The sequence below is a fragment of the Homo sapiens genome, chromosome 7 (genome assembly GCF_000001405.40).
Source record: "Homo sapiens chromosome 7, GRCh38.p14 Primary Assembly".
Taxonomy (NCBI): Eukaryota; Metazoa; Chordata; class Mammalia; order Primates; family Hominidae; genus Homo; species Homo sapiens.
Window position 1 is genome coordinate 75,791,738 of NC_000007.14, and position 17,867 is coordinate 75,809,604.

A 17,867-nucleotide genomic window follows, 5' to 3' on the forward strand; every position below is an offset into this window, starting at 1 on the left:
GGGAGGATTGCTTCAGCCCAGAAGTTCAACAAGTAAGTAAGGTTTTTTTTCCATCCTTTTTTTGTTTTGAGACAGGGTCTCACTCTGTCACCGACGCTGGAGTGCAGAGGTGTGATCACAGCTCACGGCAGCCTCCACCTCCCCAAGCTCAAGTGATTCTCCCACCTCACCCTCCCAAGCAGCTGGGACCACAGGCATGCACCACCACACCTGGCTACTTTGTTTTTATTTTTATTTATTTATTTAGAGACAGAGTCTTGCTGTGTTACCCAGGCATGTTACCCACGATTTCAGCTCACTGCAGCCTCTGCCTCCTCTGGCTCAAGCAATCCTCTTACCTCAGTCTCCCGAGTAGCTGGGACTACAGGCATGCGCCACCACACCCAGATACTTTCTGTATTTTTAGCAGAGATGGGGTTTCACCGCGTTGGCCAGGCTGGTCTCAAACTCCTGACCTCAGGTGATCCACCCACTTCGGCCTCCCAAAGTGCTGGGATTACAGGCGTGAGCCGCCATGCCTGGCTGTAAGTTTTAATGAGGTCATAAGGATGGGACTCTGATCCAATATGACAGGTGTCCTTATAAGAAAAGAAGCCACCAGGCATGGGTGACTCATGCCTGTAATCCCAGCACTCCCAGGTGGGAGGATTGCTTCAGCCCAGAAGTTCAAGACCAGCCTGGTCAACATAGTGAGATCCCATCTCTATAAAAAATAAAAATTAGCCAGACATAGTGGCGCACGCCTGTAGTCCCAGCTACTCAAGAGGCTCAAGCGGGAGGCTCCCTTGAGCCCAGGAGTTTGAAATCAGTCTGGGCAATGTAGTGAGACCCTATCTCTACATAAAATACAAAAATTAGCCGGGCGTGGTGGCACATGCCTGTAGTGCCAGCTACTTGGGAGGCCGAGGCAGGAGGATTGCTGGAGCCCAGGAGTTCAAGGCTGCAGTGAGCTGTGGTCACACCACTGCACTCCAGCCTGAGCAACAGAGCAAGACCCCTATCTCAAATAAATAAATAAATAAATAAATAAATAAATAAATAAATAAATAAATAAGTGTAACAGGGAGAGAGTAAAGAGGTTTTGTTTTGTTTTTTGTTTTTTTTTTTTTTAGATGGAGTCTTGCTCTGTCACCCAGGCTAGAGTGCAATGGTGCGATCTTGGATCACTGCAACCTCTGCCTCCCGGCTTTAAGCAATTCTCCTGTCTCAGCCTCCCAAGTAGCTGGGACTATAGGTGCCCACCACCATGCCCGGCTAATTTTTGTATTTTTAGTAGAGATGGGGTTTCACCATGTTGGCCAGGCTGGTCTGGAACTCCTGACTTCAAGTGATCTGCCTGCCTTGGCCTCCCAAAGTGCTGGAATTACAGGCATGGGCCACCGGGCCCGGCCAACAGTAAGGAGTTTTAAGCAGGGGAGTCACACGATGAGAGGACTCATTGATAAAGATGAGTCTGGCTGCTGTAAGGACACAATACTAGAGAGGGACAGAGGGATGTGGAGGCCCAGCATGAAGCCTCCTTTTGTCTCCATAACCCTTCAGCACAGGGTTCTGGAATGTATTTATGTGGCAAATGTTTGCTCGTTCTTTTTTTCTTTTTTTTGAGATGGAGTCTCGCTCTGTCAGGTTGGAGTGCAGGTCGGCTCACTGCAACCTCCACCTCCTGGGTTCAAGCAATTCTCCTGCCTCAGCCTCCCGAGTAGCTGGGACTATAGGTGCGCACCACCACATCCAGCTAATTTTTGTATTTTTAGTAGAGATATGGTTTCACCATGTTGACCAGACTGGTGTCAAACTGCTGACCTCAAGTGAGCTGGCCACCTCAGCCTCCCACAGTGCTGGGATTACAGGCATAAGTCACTGCATCCAGCCAAATGTTTGCTGAATTCTTACAGCCCCAGCAATGTCCAAGGCTCTGGAGACACCGTGGTGGACAGGACACCATCCCTGTCCTTAAGAAAGGTGAGTATAGAATTTGAGCATAAGTGGAGAAAGAACAAAGAGAGAAAGAAAGAGAGAGAGAGAGAGAGAGGGAGAGAGGGAGGGGAAGGGGAAGGGGAGGAAGGAAGGGGAAGGAAGAAAGGAAGAAGAAAGGAAGGAAGGGAGGAAGGGAGGGAGGGAGAGAGAGAGAAAGAAAGAAAGAAAGAAAAGAAAAGAAAAGAAAAGAAAGACAGAAAGAAATAAAGAAAAAGAAAGAAAGAAAAGAAAGCGGGCCAGGTGAGGTGGGTAACACCTGTAATCCCAGCATTTTGGAGGGCCTAGGTGGGCAGATCACTTGAAGTCAGGAGTCGAGCCCAGCCTGGGTAATATGGTGAAACCCTGTCTCTACTAAAAATAAAAAAATTAACTGGGCGTGGTGGTGCCCACCTGTAATCCCAGCTACTCGGGAGGCTGAGGCAGGAGAATCTCTTGAACCCAGCAGGCAGAGAATGCAGTGAGCCAAGATTGTGCCACTGCACTCCAGCCTGGGCGACATAGTGAGACTCTGTCAATAAAAAAAAGAAAGAAAGAAAAAGAGAGAGAGAGAGAAATAAGAGAGAAAGAGAAAGGAAGGAAGGAAGGAAGGAAGGGAGAGAAAGAGAAAGAGAGACCGCGTGCAGTGGCTCACACCTGTAATCCCAGCACTTTGGGAGGCTGAGGTGGGTGGATCCCTTGAGGTCAGGAGTTTGAGACCAGGCTGGCCAACATGGTGAAACTTGTCTGTACTAAAAATACAAAAATTAGCCAGGTGTGGTGGCACGTGCCTGTAATCCCACCTACTTGGGAGGCTGAGGCAGGAGAATTGCTTGAACCTGAGAGGCGGAGGTTGCAGTGAGCCGAGATCGCACCACTGCACTCCAGCGTGGGCAACAGAGCAAGACTCTATCTCAAACAAAAAAAAAAGAAGAAGAAAAAAGGAAAAAAAAAAAGAGAGAAGTAAGGAGTGGATGTAAAGAAACTCCCTTGTCTGCTGTCCCAGTGAGACCTACACATGGGGAGCTAGTGAGGGGAGCCAGAGGAGGCACAGTGTGTTAGGAGGGGTTCCCCAGCCCTGGGAAGCTCTTCCTGGAGGAAGCAGCATCCTGGCTTGTGTGCAACAGAGACCAAGCCGAATCAGGAGAATAAAAACATGTTTCGGCCGGGCGCCGTGGCTCACACCTGTAATCCCAGCACTTTGGGAGGCTGAGGCAGGAGGATTACTTGAGCCCAGGAGTTCAACACTAGCCTGGGCAATATAGTGGAACCCTGTCTCTACAAAATCTTAAAAATCAGCTGGGCATGGTGGCACATGTCTGTAGTCCCAGCTACTTGGGGAGCCTGAGGTGAGAGGATCGCTTGAGGCCAGGAGGTTGAAGTTGCAGTGAGACACGATCACACCACTGCACTCCAGCCTGGGTGACGGAGTGAGACCCTGTCTCAAACAAACAAACAACTAAAAAACCGTATCTCCTGGAGTTGGAAGAAAAACAAACTTTTTTGTTTGTTACCAGTTAATCCATTTACCCTGAAAGCGGTTCTAGGAGAGTGGTTTCTTTATTTCTCTTTCTTTCTTTCTTTCCTTCTTTCTTTCTCTCTCTTTCCTTCCTTCCTTCCTTCTTTCTTTCTTTCTCTCTTTCTTTTTCTATCTTTGTTTCTTGATCTCTTGCTTTCTTCTTTCTTTCTTTCTTGATCTCTTGCTTTCTTCTTTCTATCTTTCTTTCTTGCTCTCTTGCCTTCTTCTTTCTTTTTTTCTCTTTCTTTTTTTTTTTTTTGAAACAGGGTCTCCCTCTGTCACCCAGGCTGGAGTGCAGTGGTGCAATCTCGGCTCACTGCAGCCTCCAGCTCCTCGGTTCAAGCGATTCTCCTGCCTCAGCCTCCCAAGTAGCTGGGACTATAGGCATGCACTACCACGCCTGGCTAAGTTTTGTACTTTTAGTAGAGACAGGGTTTCACCATATTGCCCAGGCTGGTCTCGAACTCCTGACCTCAAGTGATCCACCTGCCTCGGCCCCCAAAAGTGCTGGGATTACAGGCATGAGCCATGACACCCGGCCTAGGGAGGTTTTCTTATCCCCTTTTACAGCCTAGAAAACTGTGGTTTGTTCAAGGCCACAAAACTCATGGATGGCAGAACCAAGGCTCAGAGCTGGGTCTGTGTCATGCCTGTGCCTTGTCCTGCCTCTGACAGTCTCAGAGTCCTACCCCCCAACCCTTAACGCTGAGAATGAACCTTCAGGGTGGCTTCCGCCAGGCTTTGTCCCGAAGCTAAAACTACTCTGTAGTTACAGGACCATATCAGAGCCAAGGGCAAATAGCAGCTAGATAGATAAGGGGAGGCATCTGCGGGTTAGCAAAAGTCAGCAAATTCCCTTCCAAACTTTCAATTGGCCAATAAAAAAAGGGAAATGCAGCCCATCCCACCAGCTTCGAGAACATAACAACGAACTGCCAGTTGCTTGGGAGAAGCGCAGCTCTTCCCCATTCTGAGTCTTGAGAGATGTTTCCCCAAGCAAGGTCGTGACCGGGCATGACCCATAGCAAGAACTGAATGTTCCTTTGGGCTTGAGATTATTCAGAAGTTAGAAGGCTGGGGAGAGAGAGACTTCCAGGGAATGCCTTTTTAGAGGCTGAAAAGCACTCCAACCTGGACAACAGAGTGACACTCCGTCTCAAAAAAAAACTAGTGGCAAAAGGCAGAAGGTGGGATTTAGTAGGAGCCACGGGAGGAGGGGTCTGGGGTCCTCTTGCTGGCCTGCTTACACTGAGCATTCGGGGAGTATTAGTCTCCCCTACTCAGCTACGGTCAGTAACAGAATAATTTCCTCTAAATCTTGCCTGTATCTCAGGCAGAATAAGCGACTGGAAGACCCAAATGACCACCTTTCTTTTGATGAGACACGGTCTTGATCTGTTGTCCAGGTTGGAGTACAGTGATGCAATCACAGCTCGCTGCAGCCTCCAACTCCTGAACTCTAGCGATCCTCCTGCCTCAACCTCCTAAGTAGCTGGGACCACAGGCACACATCACTATGTCCTGATAATTTTTTTTTTTATTTTTAATTTTCTAGACATGGGGGTCTCCCTGTGTTGCCCAGGCTGGTCTCAAACTCCTGGGCTCAAAGCATCTTCCCACCTTGTCCTCCCAAAGTGCTAGGATACCAGGCACGAGCCATCACACAGGGCCACGTACAGCTTTCTAAGAAGGAAACTTCTGGCCGGGCGCGCCCGTATTTCTAGCACTTTGGGAGGCCCAGTTGGGTGGATAGCCCAAGCTCAAGAGTTTGAGACCAGCCTGGGCAACACGGTGAAAACCCATCTCTACTAAAAAATCCGCTGGGCATGGTGGCATGTGCCTGTAATCCCAGCTACTGGGAAGGCTGAGGCACGGGAATTGCTTGAACCCAGGAGGCAGAGGTTGCAGTGAGCCGAGATCGTGCCACTGCGCTCCAGTCTGGGCAACAGAGGGAGACTTGGTCTCAAAAACAAAACAAAACAAAACAGTCCAGGCGCGGTGGCTCACACCTGTAATCCCAGCACTTTGGGAGGCCAAGGCGGGCAGATCACAAGGTCAGGAGATCGAGACCATCCTGGCTAACACGGTGAAACCCCGTCTCTACTAAAAATACAAAAAAAATTAGCCAGGCATGGTGGTGGGCGCCTGTAGTCCCAGCTACTCAGGAGGCTGAGGCAGGAGAATCGCTTGAACCTGGGAGGCAGAGGTTGCAGTGAGCTGAGTTCACCACCACTGCACTCCAGCCTAGGCGACAGAGCGAGACTCCATCTCAAAAAAAAAAAAAAAAGAAGAAGGAAACTTCCATAAGTTCTTTTGTTTTCTTAGAGATAGGCTCGCTTTTTTTTTGTTTGATTTTTCTGAGACAGAGTCTCACACTGTCGCCCAGGCTGGAGTGCAGTGGCACCATCTCAGCTCACTGGAACCTCCGCCTCCAAGGTTCAGACAGTTCTCTTGCCTCAGCCTCCCGAGTAGCTGGGACTACAGGAATATGCCACCACATGTGGCAATTTTTTGCATTTTTAGTAGAGACAGAGTTTTGCCATGTTTGCCAGGCTGGTCTCAAACTCCTGGCCTCAACTGATCCGCCCGCCTCGGCCTCCCAAAGTGCTGGGATTACAGTCAAGAGCCACCATGCCCAGCCAGAGTCTTGCTTTGTTGCCAGGCTGGAGTTCAATGGCACGGTCATGGCTCACTGCAGCCTCCAACTCCTGGGCTCAGGCAATCTTCCTGCCTCAGCCTCCTAAGAGGCTGAGAATACAGGTACGTGCCACCATGCCCGGCTAATTTTTTAAAATAGAGATAAGGTCTCACTATATTGCTCATAGTAAGACTCGTCTTCTGGCCTCAAGTGATCCTCCTGCTTTGGCTTCCAAAATACTGGGAATACAGGTTTGAGCTGCTGTGCCCAGGCCCATGCGTTCTCAAGGGGCTTCCTGGAAATGAACAGGTCTGTAATTTTGGGAAGTGAGATAGTATAACTACCCTTTTAATAGAGAGGTTTGACCTAGAGAAACAAGGTCATGGAATTCTTCAGAATCAATAACTTTGCAAGGGCTGGGACCTAGAGCCAGGATAGAATTTCAGCAGTTCTGACAGCAAAACATCTTTCTCGGTCAAAAAAAACATTCATTCTGGCAACTTCTCCCAGCAGTATACTTCCCAGAAGGACATGGGGATGGGAAGAAGAGAGAGAGACTGCGTCTCAGAAAGAATTGATGAGCTGGGAAGCCAGGTGGGGTGGTTCACACCTGTAATCCCAGCACTTTGAGAGGCTGAGGCGGGTGAATGGCTTGAGGCCAGGAGTTCGATACCAGCCTGGGCAACATAGTGAAACCGCGTCTCTGCTAAAAATACAAAAATTAGCAAGGCGTGGTGGCACGTGTCTGTGGTCCCAGCTACTTGGGAGGCTGAGGTGGGAGGATTTTTTTTTAGCCCAGGAAGTCGAGGCTGCAGTGAGCTGTGATCATGTCACTGCACTCTAGCCTGGATGACAGAGCGAGACCCTGTCTCAAAAAAAAAAAAATTATAAGCTGGGATTTACTAGGTAGGGAAGCCCAACACTGCATGGCTCTCTAGAAGCATGTTCTATCAAGAGATGGATGGAGGCTTGGCATCCCTTGCAGGAAGGCTGGTTGGTGGAGAGAGGACAAAAAGCCAGGGAGGAGGAGAGGAGGAGGGGAAGCGAGGAGTTGAAAGCTTTGAAAAGTTCAAAGGCTTCGAACAAGATAAGACCTTATGCTGACCTTTCTTTATCTGGCAGTTCCAGCTGCCACCTGGAGGAAGAAGTGACTGAGACCAGAACTGTGCCCACCAGCTGCCACACTTACCTGGCAAGGGCTCAGAGTCAAGATACCCAACCCAGCTCAGCACTTCTCCCTGGACCTCTTCCAACTGCATGAAGCCCTGGGTCCCTGGGTTGTTCACAGTTCGTTGTCTCCCGGTGTAGAAAAGTCTGTCAACCCTGCTTGGACATCGCAATCACCTGGGTAACTTTTTTTTTTTTTTTTTGAAACGGAGTTTCTCTCTTGTTGCTCAGGCTGGAGTGCAATGGTGCGATCTCGGCTCACTGCAAACTCTGCCTCCCGGGTTCAAGCGATTCTCCTGCCTCAGCCTCCCAAGTAACTGGGATTACAGGCGCCCGCCACCATGCCCAGCTAATTTTTGTATTTTTAGTAGAGATGGGGTTTCGCCATGTTGGTTGGGCTGGTCTCGAACTCCTGGTCTCAGGTGATCCTCCTGCCTCTGCCTCCCAAAGTGCTGGGATTACAGGCATGAGCCACCACGCCCGGAGTAATCTGCATTTTTTAAGCTTCACAGCTGACTCTGAAGCCCAGGAAGGGTTGAGAACTGCTGTTTTGTGTGTCTCTCTCCTTCCTTTTCTCACCCACTGTGCTCAAGGACTCATGTTTGCTCTTTCCCCTCCTAGCCTCGGGTTACAATGGTACCTGGTGATACACCAGCCTTGTATTTACTACAGCACACTAAAATCAGTTCTTGTCCCAGCACAGTGTGGCTCATGCCTGTAATCCCAGCACTTTGGAAAGCTGAGGGGGGCAGATCGATAGAGCCCAGGAGTTTGAGCCCAGCCTGAGCAACATAGTGAGACTCTGTCTTTACAAAAAATACAAAAATTAGCCGGGTGTCGTGGTGCACGCCTGTGGTCCCAGCTACTCAGGAGGCTGAGGTGGGAGGATCGCTTGAGCCTGGGAATTGGAGGCTGCGGTGAGCCAAGGTTGCACCACTGCACTCCAGCCTGGGTGACAGGGAGACCCTAAAAAAAAAAAATCATTTTTCATGAGTCATGTGACAAGTTTACCTGGGGACAAAAGAGGACTCCCCCCAAACATGGGCCAGTTTTGGCTTAACTTGGCTACAGACGGGGCCCAGACCCTCCCTGACCACAGCCAACCCCCGACACCCCCTCCATCTTTAGATTCCTCCTTCACAAAGTGGCTCAAGAAAGAGTGTGGTGACTCTGTGGACGGGTCATCATGCTGGTGGCCTGCCCCGACGCACGACAGGGTGGTCAGCGTATGATCTCCACACGCATCGACTGGCCGTGCATATCCAAGGCTCATGTTCTGTTGTAAGGCCAGGCAAGGGCAGGCCAGGCTGTCTGGTGGACAGTTCAAGTGCCCCAAAGGCCGTCATTCCAACCAGTGGCTTTTTTTTTTTTTTGAGACGGAGTCTTGCTCTGTTGCCCGGGCTGGAGTGCAGTGGCATAATCTCAGCTCACTGCAGCCTCCGCTTCCCAGGTTCAAGTGATTCTCCTGCCTCAGCCTCCCAAGTAGCTGGGACTACAGGCGCCCACTACCGCACCTGGCTAATTTTTGTATTTTTAGTAGAGACGGGGTTTCACCATGTTGGCCAGGCTGGTCTCGAACTCCTGACCTCGTGATCAGCCCACCTCGGCCTCCCAAAGTGCTGGGATTACAGGGGTGAGTCATCACTCCCGGCCCAACTGGTGCCTTTTTTATCCAGAGGCATCCGTGGCTGCTAGAAAAATGACACGGGGGAGGCGGGGGGCCCAGAGCCTGCCGGAATGGCCATAGCAGTGTCTGCCAGATGCCCCGGGTATAGCAGGACCAACATGCCCCTCTGCCTCCCAGCAGAGCTTGGATATTCTCCTGTTAACATTTATGGAGACTTATCATGAGCCAGGCATTGGGCTTAGTGCTTCTCATGCATTAATTGCCTAAATTATCCTCACAGCCCACCTATGAAATAGATATTTCTTTTTTTTTTTTCTGAGACAGAGTCTCATTTTGTCATCCAGGCTGGAGTGCAGTGATGCAATCTTGGCTCACTACAACCTCCATCTCCCAGGTTCAAGCAATTCTCCTGCCTCAGTCTCCCGAGTAGCTGGGATTACAGGCACCCACCACCACACCTGGCTATTTTTTTCGTATTTTTGGTGGAGACGGGGTTTCACCATGTTGACCAGGCTGGTCTCGAACTCCTGACCTCAAGTGATCCACCCACATCAGCCTCCCAAAGTGCTGGGATTACAGGTGTGAGCCACTGCACTGGGTTCCCCCTGAGGGTTTTAATTCCCTGGCATTTCTGGTCTGTCATAGCAGAGTAGCCTTTGGTATAAGGCACCCCAGTCCAGAGATGGAGATACTATTGGCGATGGGAAAACATCAGGAGCACACCAACTGGGGCAGCCCAATAAAAAGAGGCATGGATATCACATCATCAGCTTCCCTGACTTTTTATCATAAAAGTGGTTAATGCACATAGTAAAAAGCTCAAACACCATGAAAACGCACTAATAAAAGTATATCTCGGCTGGGCATGGTGGCTTACACCTGTAATCCCCACACTTTTTGGGAGGCCGAGGTGGGTGGATCTCCTGAAGTTGGGAGTTCGAGACCAGCCTGACCAACATGGAGAAACTCTGTCTCTACTAAAAAAATAAATAAATAAATAAATACAAAATTACCTGGACGTGGTGGCACATGCCTGTAATCCCAGCTACTCGGAAGGCTGAGGCAGGAGAATCGCTTGAACCCGGGAGGCAGAGGTTGTGGGGAGCTGAAATCTCACCATTGCACTCCAGCCTGGGCAATAAGAGCGAAACTCGTCTCAAAAAAAAAAAAAAAGAAAAAAAAAATTCTCTCTCCCAGATCCTAGTCCTGAATTGCCATCCTGTCAGAGGTGTGTGAACCAGAGTGACTCCATCTTGAATAGGAGCTGGGTAAAATGAGGCTGAGACCTACTGGGCTGCATTCCCAGGATGTGAGGCATTCTAAGTCACAGGATAAGACAGGATGTCGGCACAAGATACAGGTCATAAAGACCTCACTGATAAAACAGGTTGCAGTAAAGAAGTTGGTCAAGGCTGGGCATGGTAGCTCACGCCTGTAATCCCAGCACTTTGGGAGGCCGAGGTGGGAGGATCACCTGAGGTCAGGAGTTCAAGACTAGCCTGACCAACATGGTGAAACCCCGTCTCTACTAAAAATACAAAAAAAAAAAATTAGCCGGGTGTGGTGGTGTACGCCTGTAGTCCCAGTTACTTAGAAGGCTGAGGCACGAGAATCGCTTGAACCCGGGAGGCAGAAGTTGCAGTGAGCCGAGATCATGCCACTGCACTCCAGCCTGGGCGACAGTCAGATTCCATCTCAAAAAACACAAAAAAAGAGATTGCAGTAAAGAAGGCAGCCAAAACCCACTGAAACCAAGATGGCGATGAAAGTCACCTCTGATCCTCCTCATTGCTCATTATACCCTAATTATAATATATTAGCATGCTAAAAGACACTGCCACCACTGCCATAACAGTTTATAGATGCCACGGCAACGTCAGGAAGTTACGCTATATGGTCTTAAAAAGGGGGAGGAATCCTCAGTTCCAGGAATTGCCTACCTCTTTCCCTGAAAACTCATGAATAACCCACCCCTTCTTTAGCATAGAATCAAAAAATAACTGTACGTATGCTTATTCGAGCACCCCATGACACTGCTCTGCCTATGGAGTAGCCATTCTGTATAACTTTACTTTCTTAATAAACTTGCTTTCACTTTACTCTATGGACTTGTCCTGAATTATTTCTTGCACTAGGTCCAAGAACCGTCTCCTGAGGTCTGGAGCGGGACCCCGTTTCTTGATAGTTTGTATGTCCAGCAAATTACTAATCATATGTATATCTTTTTTGTTGCACAAATAGTATCATCCAGTATATACTCTTGTGCACTTTGATTTTTTTCATTTAAAAATAGATCTTTGGAAGGGCGTGGTGGCTGATGCCTGTAATCCCAGCACTCTGGGAGGCCAAGGCAGGCAGATCACGAGGTCAGGAGTTCGAGACCAGCCTGGCCAACATGGTGAAAGCCCGTCTCTACAAAATTCAAAAATTAGCCCGTGGTGGCAGGTGCCTGTAATCCCAGCCACTCAGGGAGGGGCTGAGGCGGGAGAATCGCTTGAACCGGGGAGGCGGAGGTTGCAGTGAGCCAAGATCGCACCACTGCACTCCAGCCTGCATGACAGAGCAAGACTCCATCCCAAAAAAAAAAAAAAAAAAAAAAAAAAGATCTTTATCAAGTCATCTATGAATGGGCAAATGAGCTTGTTGCCAGTTTTCCACAACTACCGATATTACTGCAATAAACCTCCCTGCCCATGCATCTCTGTGCATTTGCATAGGGTTCCCTTCTGGAAGTGGAGTTGCTGGGTCAACAGATATGTGTGTTAAGCGTTTTAGCAGATGTTACTAGATTGTCCTCCAAAGAGGCTGGTCCAGTAGACACTCTAGCTGGTAGTGCAACAGAGTGCCAGCTTCCCCACACTCCCAAGTGCCTGCTACCCTCTTCTTCTGCATTGCCTGCTTCAATCCTCTCAAGGCCCCTGGCTGGAGTATAGACACCATACGATACAACCTCTGGGAAAATAAATGAAGACCACCCAAATGAAAACTAACACACTACTCACTCTGAGCTTGCTACAGCAAGAGGGTCAGCCTCCATCCATTGAAGAGACTCAGAGGCAGGCAGGGGAGAGGGAACACTTTGCAGTAGGAAAGAGGGAAGGCACGGGGTGCTTTGTTTTACTTATTTCTTTATTTTTGAGACAGAGTCTCACTCTGTCACCCAGGCTGGAGTGCAGTGGCACAATCTCAGCTCAATGCAACCTCCACCTCCTGGGTTCAAGCGATTGTCCTGCCTCAGCCTCCTGAGTAGCTGGGATTACAGGTGTGCACCACCACACCTGGCTAATTTTTGTATTTTTAGTTGAGATGAGGTTTCACCATGTTGGCCAGGCTGGTCTCAAACTCCTGACCTCGTGATCCACCCACTTCAGCCTCCCAAAATGCTGGGATTACAGTCATGAGCCACTGCACCCAGCCTGATGGACCACATATACAACGGTGGCCCCACCCCATAAGATATAATACTAAATTTATACTCTACCTTTTGTATGTTTAGATATGTTCAGATACACAAATACTTATCATTGTGTTGCAGTTGCCTCCAGTGTTCAGTAGTCACATGCTTGTGCAGGTTTGTAGCCTAGGAGTGTAGCCACCCGATAGGTTCTCCTTGCCTGCTGCCTAGACAGAGCCAGTTTATCAAGATAGGGGAATTGCAAGAGAGAGAGTTTAATTCATGCAGAGCTGGCTGTAAAGGAGACCAGAGTTTTATTATTACTCAAATCAGTCTCCCTGAGAATTCAGGGATTGGAGGGTATTTTTGGTTGTTGTTTGTTTTTTTGAGGCAGGGTCTCACTCTGTCACCTAGGCTGGAGTGCAGTGGCGTGATCTCAGCTTACTGCAACCTCCGCCTCCTGGGTTCAAGTGATTCTCCTGCCTCAGCCTCCCGAGTAGCTGGGATTACAGGCACACGGCACCACGCCTGGCTAATCTTTTTTGCATTTTTAGTAGAGACGGGGTTTCACCATGTTGGTAAGGCTGGTCTTGAACTCCTGACCTCAGGTGATCCACCTGCCTCGGCCTCCCAAAGTGCTGGGATTACAGGCATGAGCCACCGTGCCCGGCCCTAACTTGATCACCTTTCATTAGTTTTACAAGAACAGTTTAGTTTTGGGGAAGGGCTATTACCGTTTAAACTATAAACTAAATTTCTCTCAAAGTTAGCGTGGCCCATGCCCAGGAATGAGCAAAGACAGCCAACCTGTGAGGCTAGAAGCAAGATGGAGTCAGCCATGTCAGATTTCTCTCACGGTCTTATAATTTCCTTGGTTTTAATTTTTGCAAAGGTGGGTGCAGAAGCAATAGGCTAGACCATCTAACCTAGGTGTGTAGGAGGTTAGCCCATCTACTTTTGTGTAAGTCCACTTGATGTTTGCACAATGATGAAATCATATAATAACACATTTCTCATATAACCCTTGAGCAATGCACGTCTGTATCGTTGACTTTCTTTTCTTTTCTTTTTTTTTTTTTTTGACGGAGTCTCGCTCTGTTGCCCAGGCTGGAGTGCAGTGGCACTATCTCGGCTCACTGCAAGCTCCACCTCCCAGGTTCACACCATTCTCTTGCCTCAGCCTCCCGAGAAGCTGGGACTACAGGCGCCCACCACCAGGCCCGGCTAATTTTTTTTGTATTTTTAGTAGAGACGGGGTTTCACCATGTTAGCCAGGATGGTCTCGATCTCCTGACCTCGTGATCCCCCCCACCCACCCTCCTCAGCCTCCCAAAGTGCTGGGATTACAGGCGTGAGCCACTGCGCCTGGCATCATTGGCTTTCTATGGCTGGTTCTGAGTTGGAAAAGTGGGGAGAATAGGGAAGCTGGCAGCTACTGAAACTGTCTTTGCAAAAACCATAATAGTGAGAAAATGATGACAGTGAAAAAGAGCTGACCCAACCAACCCCCATCTTTCCTTTAATCTCCAAACTGCCCTTGGTCATTCCTGGGCTTGGACCAAGCTAACTTGGGGGAAATTTAGTTTATAGTTTAAATGATAATAGCCCTTCCCCCAAATTAAACCACCTTTGTAAAACACAAGAAAGACCACAAGGTTAGGAGGATGAGAGGGGCCTGAATTCTGCAAGATTTAGGCGAGTTACCAGCCATTGTTCCAGAAGTCACAAGATCTGCAACTTCTCCAATTACTCATGTAGATAACATCACTATTGCAGAACCTGTGATAGACTTTTTTTGGTTTGTTTTTGTTTTTTTTTTTTGAGACAGGGTCTCACTCTGTCACCTAGGCTGGAGTGCAGTGGCATGATCTCAGCTCACTGCAACCTCTGACTTCTGGGTTCAAATGAATTCTTATGTCTCAGCCTCCTGAGTAGCTGGGATTACAGCTGCATGCTGCCACGCCTGGCTAATTTTTGTATTTTTAGTAGAGACTGGGTTTCACCATGTTGGCCAGGCTGGTCTTGAACCCCTGACCTCAAGTGATCTGCCCGCCTCAGCCTCCCAAAGTGCTGGCATTATAGGTGACAGACACTGCCCCTGGCCTATGATAGGCCTTTGAAGATGTGTTTTCAGGCCGGGCACGGTGGCTCACACCTGTAATTCCAGCACTTTGGGAGACCGAGGCAGGTGGATCATGAGGTCAGGAGATCGAGATCATCCTGGCTAACACAGTGAAAACCCGTCTCTACTAAAAAATACAAAAAATTAGCCAGGCGTGATGGCAGGTGCCTGTATTCCTAGCTACTCAGGAGGCTGAGGCAGGAGAATGGTGTGAACCCAGGAGGCGGAGCTTGCAGTGAGCCAAGATTGTGCCACTGCACTCCAGCCTCGGGGACAGAGCAAGACATGTCCAAAAAAAAAAAAAAAAAAAAAAGATGTGTTTTCAGACTTTTGCATTTCTGACTGTTGGATGAGTCCACCCAGACCAGTGACTCCTCTGTGGCTCTACCCAGAAGCAGACTCAATGTAAAAGGACCATTTTCCACACCTGTATGATTGCATCCCCAACCAATCAGCAGCTCCCATTCCCTAGCCCACTGCCTACCAAACTATTCTTGAAAAACCCTAGTCTCTGAACTTTGGGGAAGGCTGGTTTGAGTAACAATAACGCTCCGGTCTCCTGTACAGCCAGCTCTGCATGAATTAAATTCCTTCTCTGTTGCAATTCCCCTGTCTTGATAAATTGGCTTTATCTGGGCAGTGGGCAAAATGAATGCACTGGATGGTTACACTATGGACCAAGCACCGGCTCTCCAGGCTGAATGCTGCAGAGGCTGTGGTGAGAGTCCTATTGTCACATGCAGTTGGGACACTGTCTGTATTTCAGTCTCATCCCTGAATGCTCTGGCTCTCCTCCCTCTTTAGGAACATGCTCTCTCTCCAGGGTGGAACCCAAGTCACCATTCAGGTGCCAACTCTGTGAAGCTGGTTCTGCAGGCTCCTTCTTCCCATCAGAATGTCCCCTGCTGTGTATTGTTTAGCATTGCTACTTATTCTGCTTTGCATTAGACTTACAATAGCTTTAGTAGCTACTGTATATGCAGTGCCTACTACTGGGCCTCTGTGTGCTCTGCAGACTCCTGGCTGCCAGTATGTGGCTCCCTGTGCCTGGGGGCTTTTTTTTAACCATGGGAACTTACTCTGCTCCCACTTGCTGAAAGCCCACCCCTCACGCACAGCTGGCAAAGACTGATGGAGTGGGTGTGTACTTCCGAGGAGGATGGATCTGTAGGTTGATGGATCCCCACCAGGTTATTTAAGGGTATATGTTGGCCACACATGGTGGCTCATGCCTGTAATCCCAGCACTTTGGGAAGCTGAGGTGGGCAGATCACTTGAGGCTAGGAGTTTGAGACCAGCCTGGCCAACATAATGAAACGCTGTCTCTACTAAAAATACAAAAATTAGTCAGGTGTTGTGGCGCATGCCTCTAATCCCAGCTACACAGGAGGCTGAGGCAGAGAATAGCTTGAACCTGGGAGGCGGAGGCTGCAGTGAGCCGAGATTGCCCCACTGTGCTCTAGTCTGGAGTGCAAAAAAAAAAAAAGTATATGTGTCAGAAGCGTGTGAACCAGAGCAACTCCATCTTAAATATGGGCTAGGTAAAACAAGGCTGAGACCTACTGGGTGCATTCCTAGATGGTTAAGGCATTCTAAATCACAGGATGAGATAGGAGGTCGGCGCAATATGCCGGTCATAAAGACCTCGCTGATAAAACAGGTTGTGGTAAAGAAACTGGCTAAAACCAACCAAAACCAAGATGGCAATGAGAGTGACCTCTGGTCGTCCTCACTGCTACTCTCCCACCAGCGCCAGGACAGTTTACAAACACCATGGCAACATCAGGAAGTTACCTTATATGGTCTAAAAAGGGTAGGCATGAATAATCCACCCCTTGCTTAGCATATCATCAAGAAAAAAACATAAAAAATGGGCAACCAGCATCCCTCAGGGCTGCTCTGTCTATGGAGTAGCCATTCTTTTGTTCCTTTACTTTCTTAATAAACTTGCTTTCACTTTACTCTATGGACTCACCCTGAATTCCTTCTTGTGTGAGATCCAAGAACCCTCTCTTGAGGTCTGGATTGGGACCCCTTATATGTCTGCTGCTTAAACCTCACCTCCCAGGCCATGGTGCTGAGCCAAGGGGCAGGTGTCGCGGAGAACCCAAAAGTCCCAGAGCATATCCGGGAACATAGCCAAGGCAGACAGTCTCATTGCATACAATAGGCAAAGAGCCAGAAAATTAGCTTCAAAGCAGCATAGAGATGGGTAGCGGGGTGGATCTCTGCAGTGGTCCTGCTGCTAGCTAGGAGTCCCTATATGTAAATCCTCACACACTCACCTACTCGCCAGGCTGGACTTCTCTGAGTTCTTTGGTCTCGGCTCTTTCCCAGCTTGGGAGAACATTCTTCTAGACAATTGCGAGTTTTCTCCATGACAGGGTCTCATGCCACTTCCCAGTGGTTTGAGCTCTGATTGTCCTCTGCTAAATCATGCACTTTTTTTAATTTTTAATTTTATTTTTATTTTTGTGGAGATGAGATTTTCCATATTCCCCAGGCTGGTCTCAAACTCCTGGGCTCAAGCAATGTGCCTGTCTCAGCCTCCCAAAGTGCTGGGATTACAGGCGTGAGCCACCATCCATGCCCCTCTGATCATGCACCCATTTTTTTTCTTTTCTTTTTTTTTTTTTGGAGACAAAGTCCCGCTCTGTTGCCCAGGCTGGAGTGCAGTGGCGTGATCACAGCTCACTGCAGCCTCAACCTCCTGGGCTCAAGCAATCCTCCCATCTCAGCCTCCAAAGTAGCTTGCACCACCACCACATCCAGCTACCTTTTTAATTTTTTGTAGGCTGGGCGCAGCGGCTCACACCTGTAATCCCAGCACTTTGGGAGGCCAAGGCGGGCAGATCACTTGAGGTCAGGAGTTTGAGACCAGCCTGGCCAACATGGTGAAACCCATCTCTACTAAAAATACAAAAATTAGCTGGATGCAGTGGCATGTGCCTGTAGTCCTTGCTACTTGGGAGGCTGAGGCAGGAGAATTGGTTGAACCTGGGAGGTGGAGGTTGCAGTGAGCTGAGATCATACCGCTACACTCCAGCCTGGGAGACAGAGCAAGACTCCGTCTCAAAATAAATAAATTTATTATTATTATTATTATTATTATTATTATTTTGTAGAGAAAGGATCTCCCTATGTTACCCAGGCTGGTCTTGAACTGCTGGGCTCACAAGATCCTCCCACCTTGGCCTCTTAAAGTGCTGAGATTACAGGCATGGGCCACTGCACTCAGCCAGAGAATTGGAAAGCTGCATGGTGTGGAAAACTTACATATTTGGTGTCAAAACTGTCGCGAGCATAGAAAAAGAGTTTTTCTCTTTCAAGGTCATGCAACTTGTAAAGCAGAATTGGCTTTGAACCCATAGTGCTCTTGATTCACGAGTGTGTTCATGTTATAATTCTAATTCTTTGAAGCAAGACATCATCGTGTATCATTTTTTT

General features: G+C 48.7%; 1 annotated feature.

Moving 5' to 3' along the window:
- Positions 8,095-8,595: an enhancer, noted in NCBI's record as "H3K4me1 hESC enhancer chr7:75429150-75429650 (GRCh37/hg19 assembly coordinates)". NCBI's record gives its function as "activates a minimal SCP1, AML or CMV promoter by ChIP-STARR-seq in naive H9 embryonic stem cells {active_cell/tissue: H9 hESC(naive)}" and the evidence as "EXISTENCE:reporter gene assay evidence [ECO:0000049][PMID:30033119]".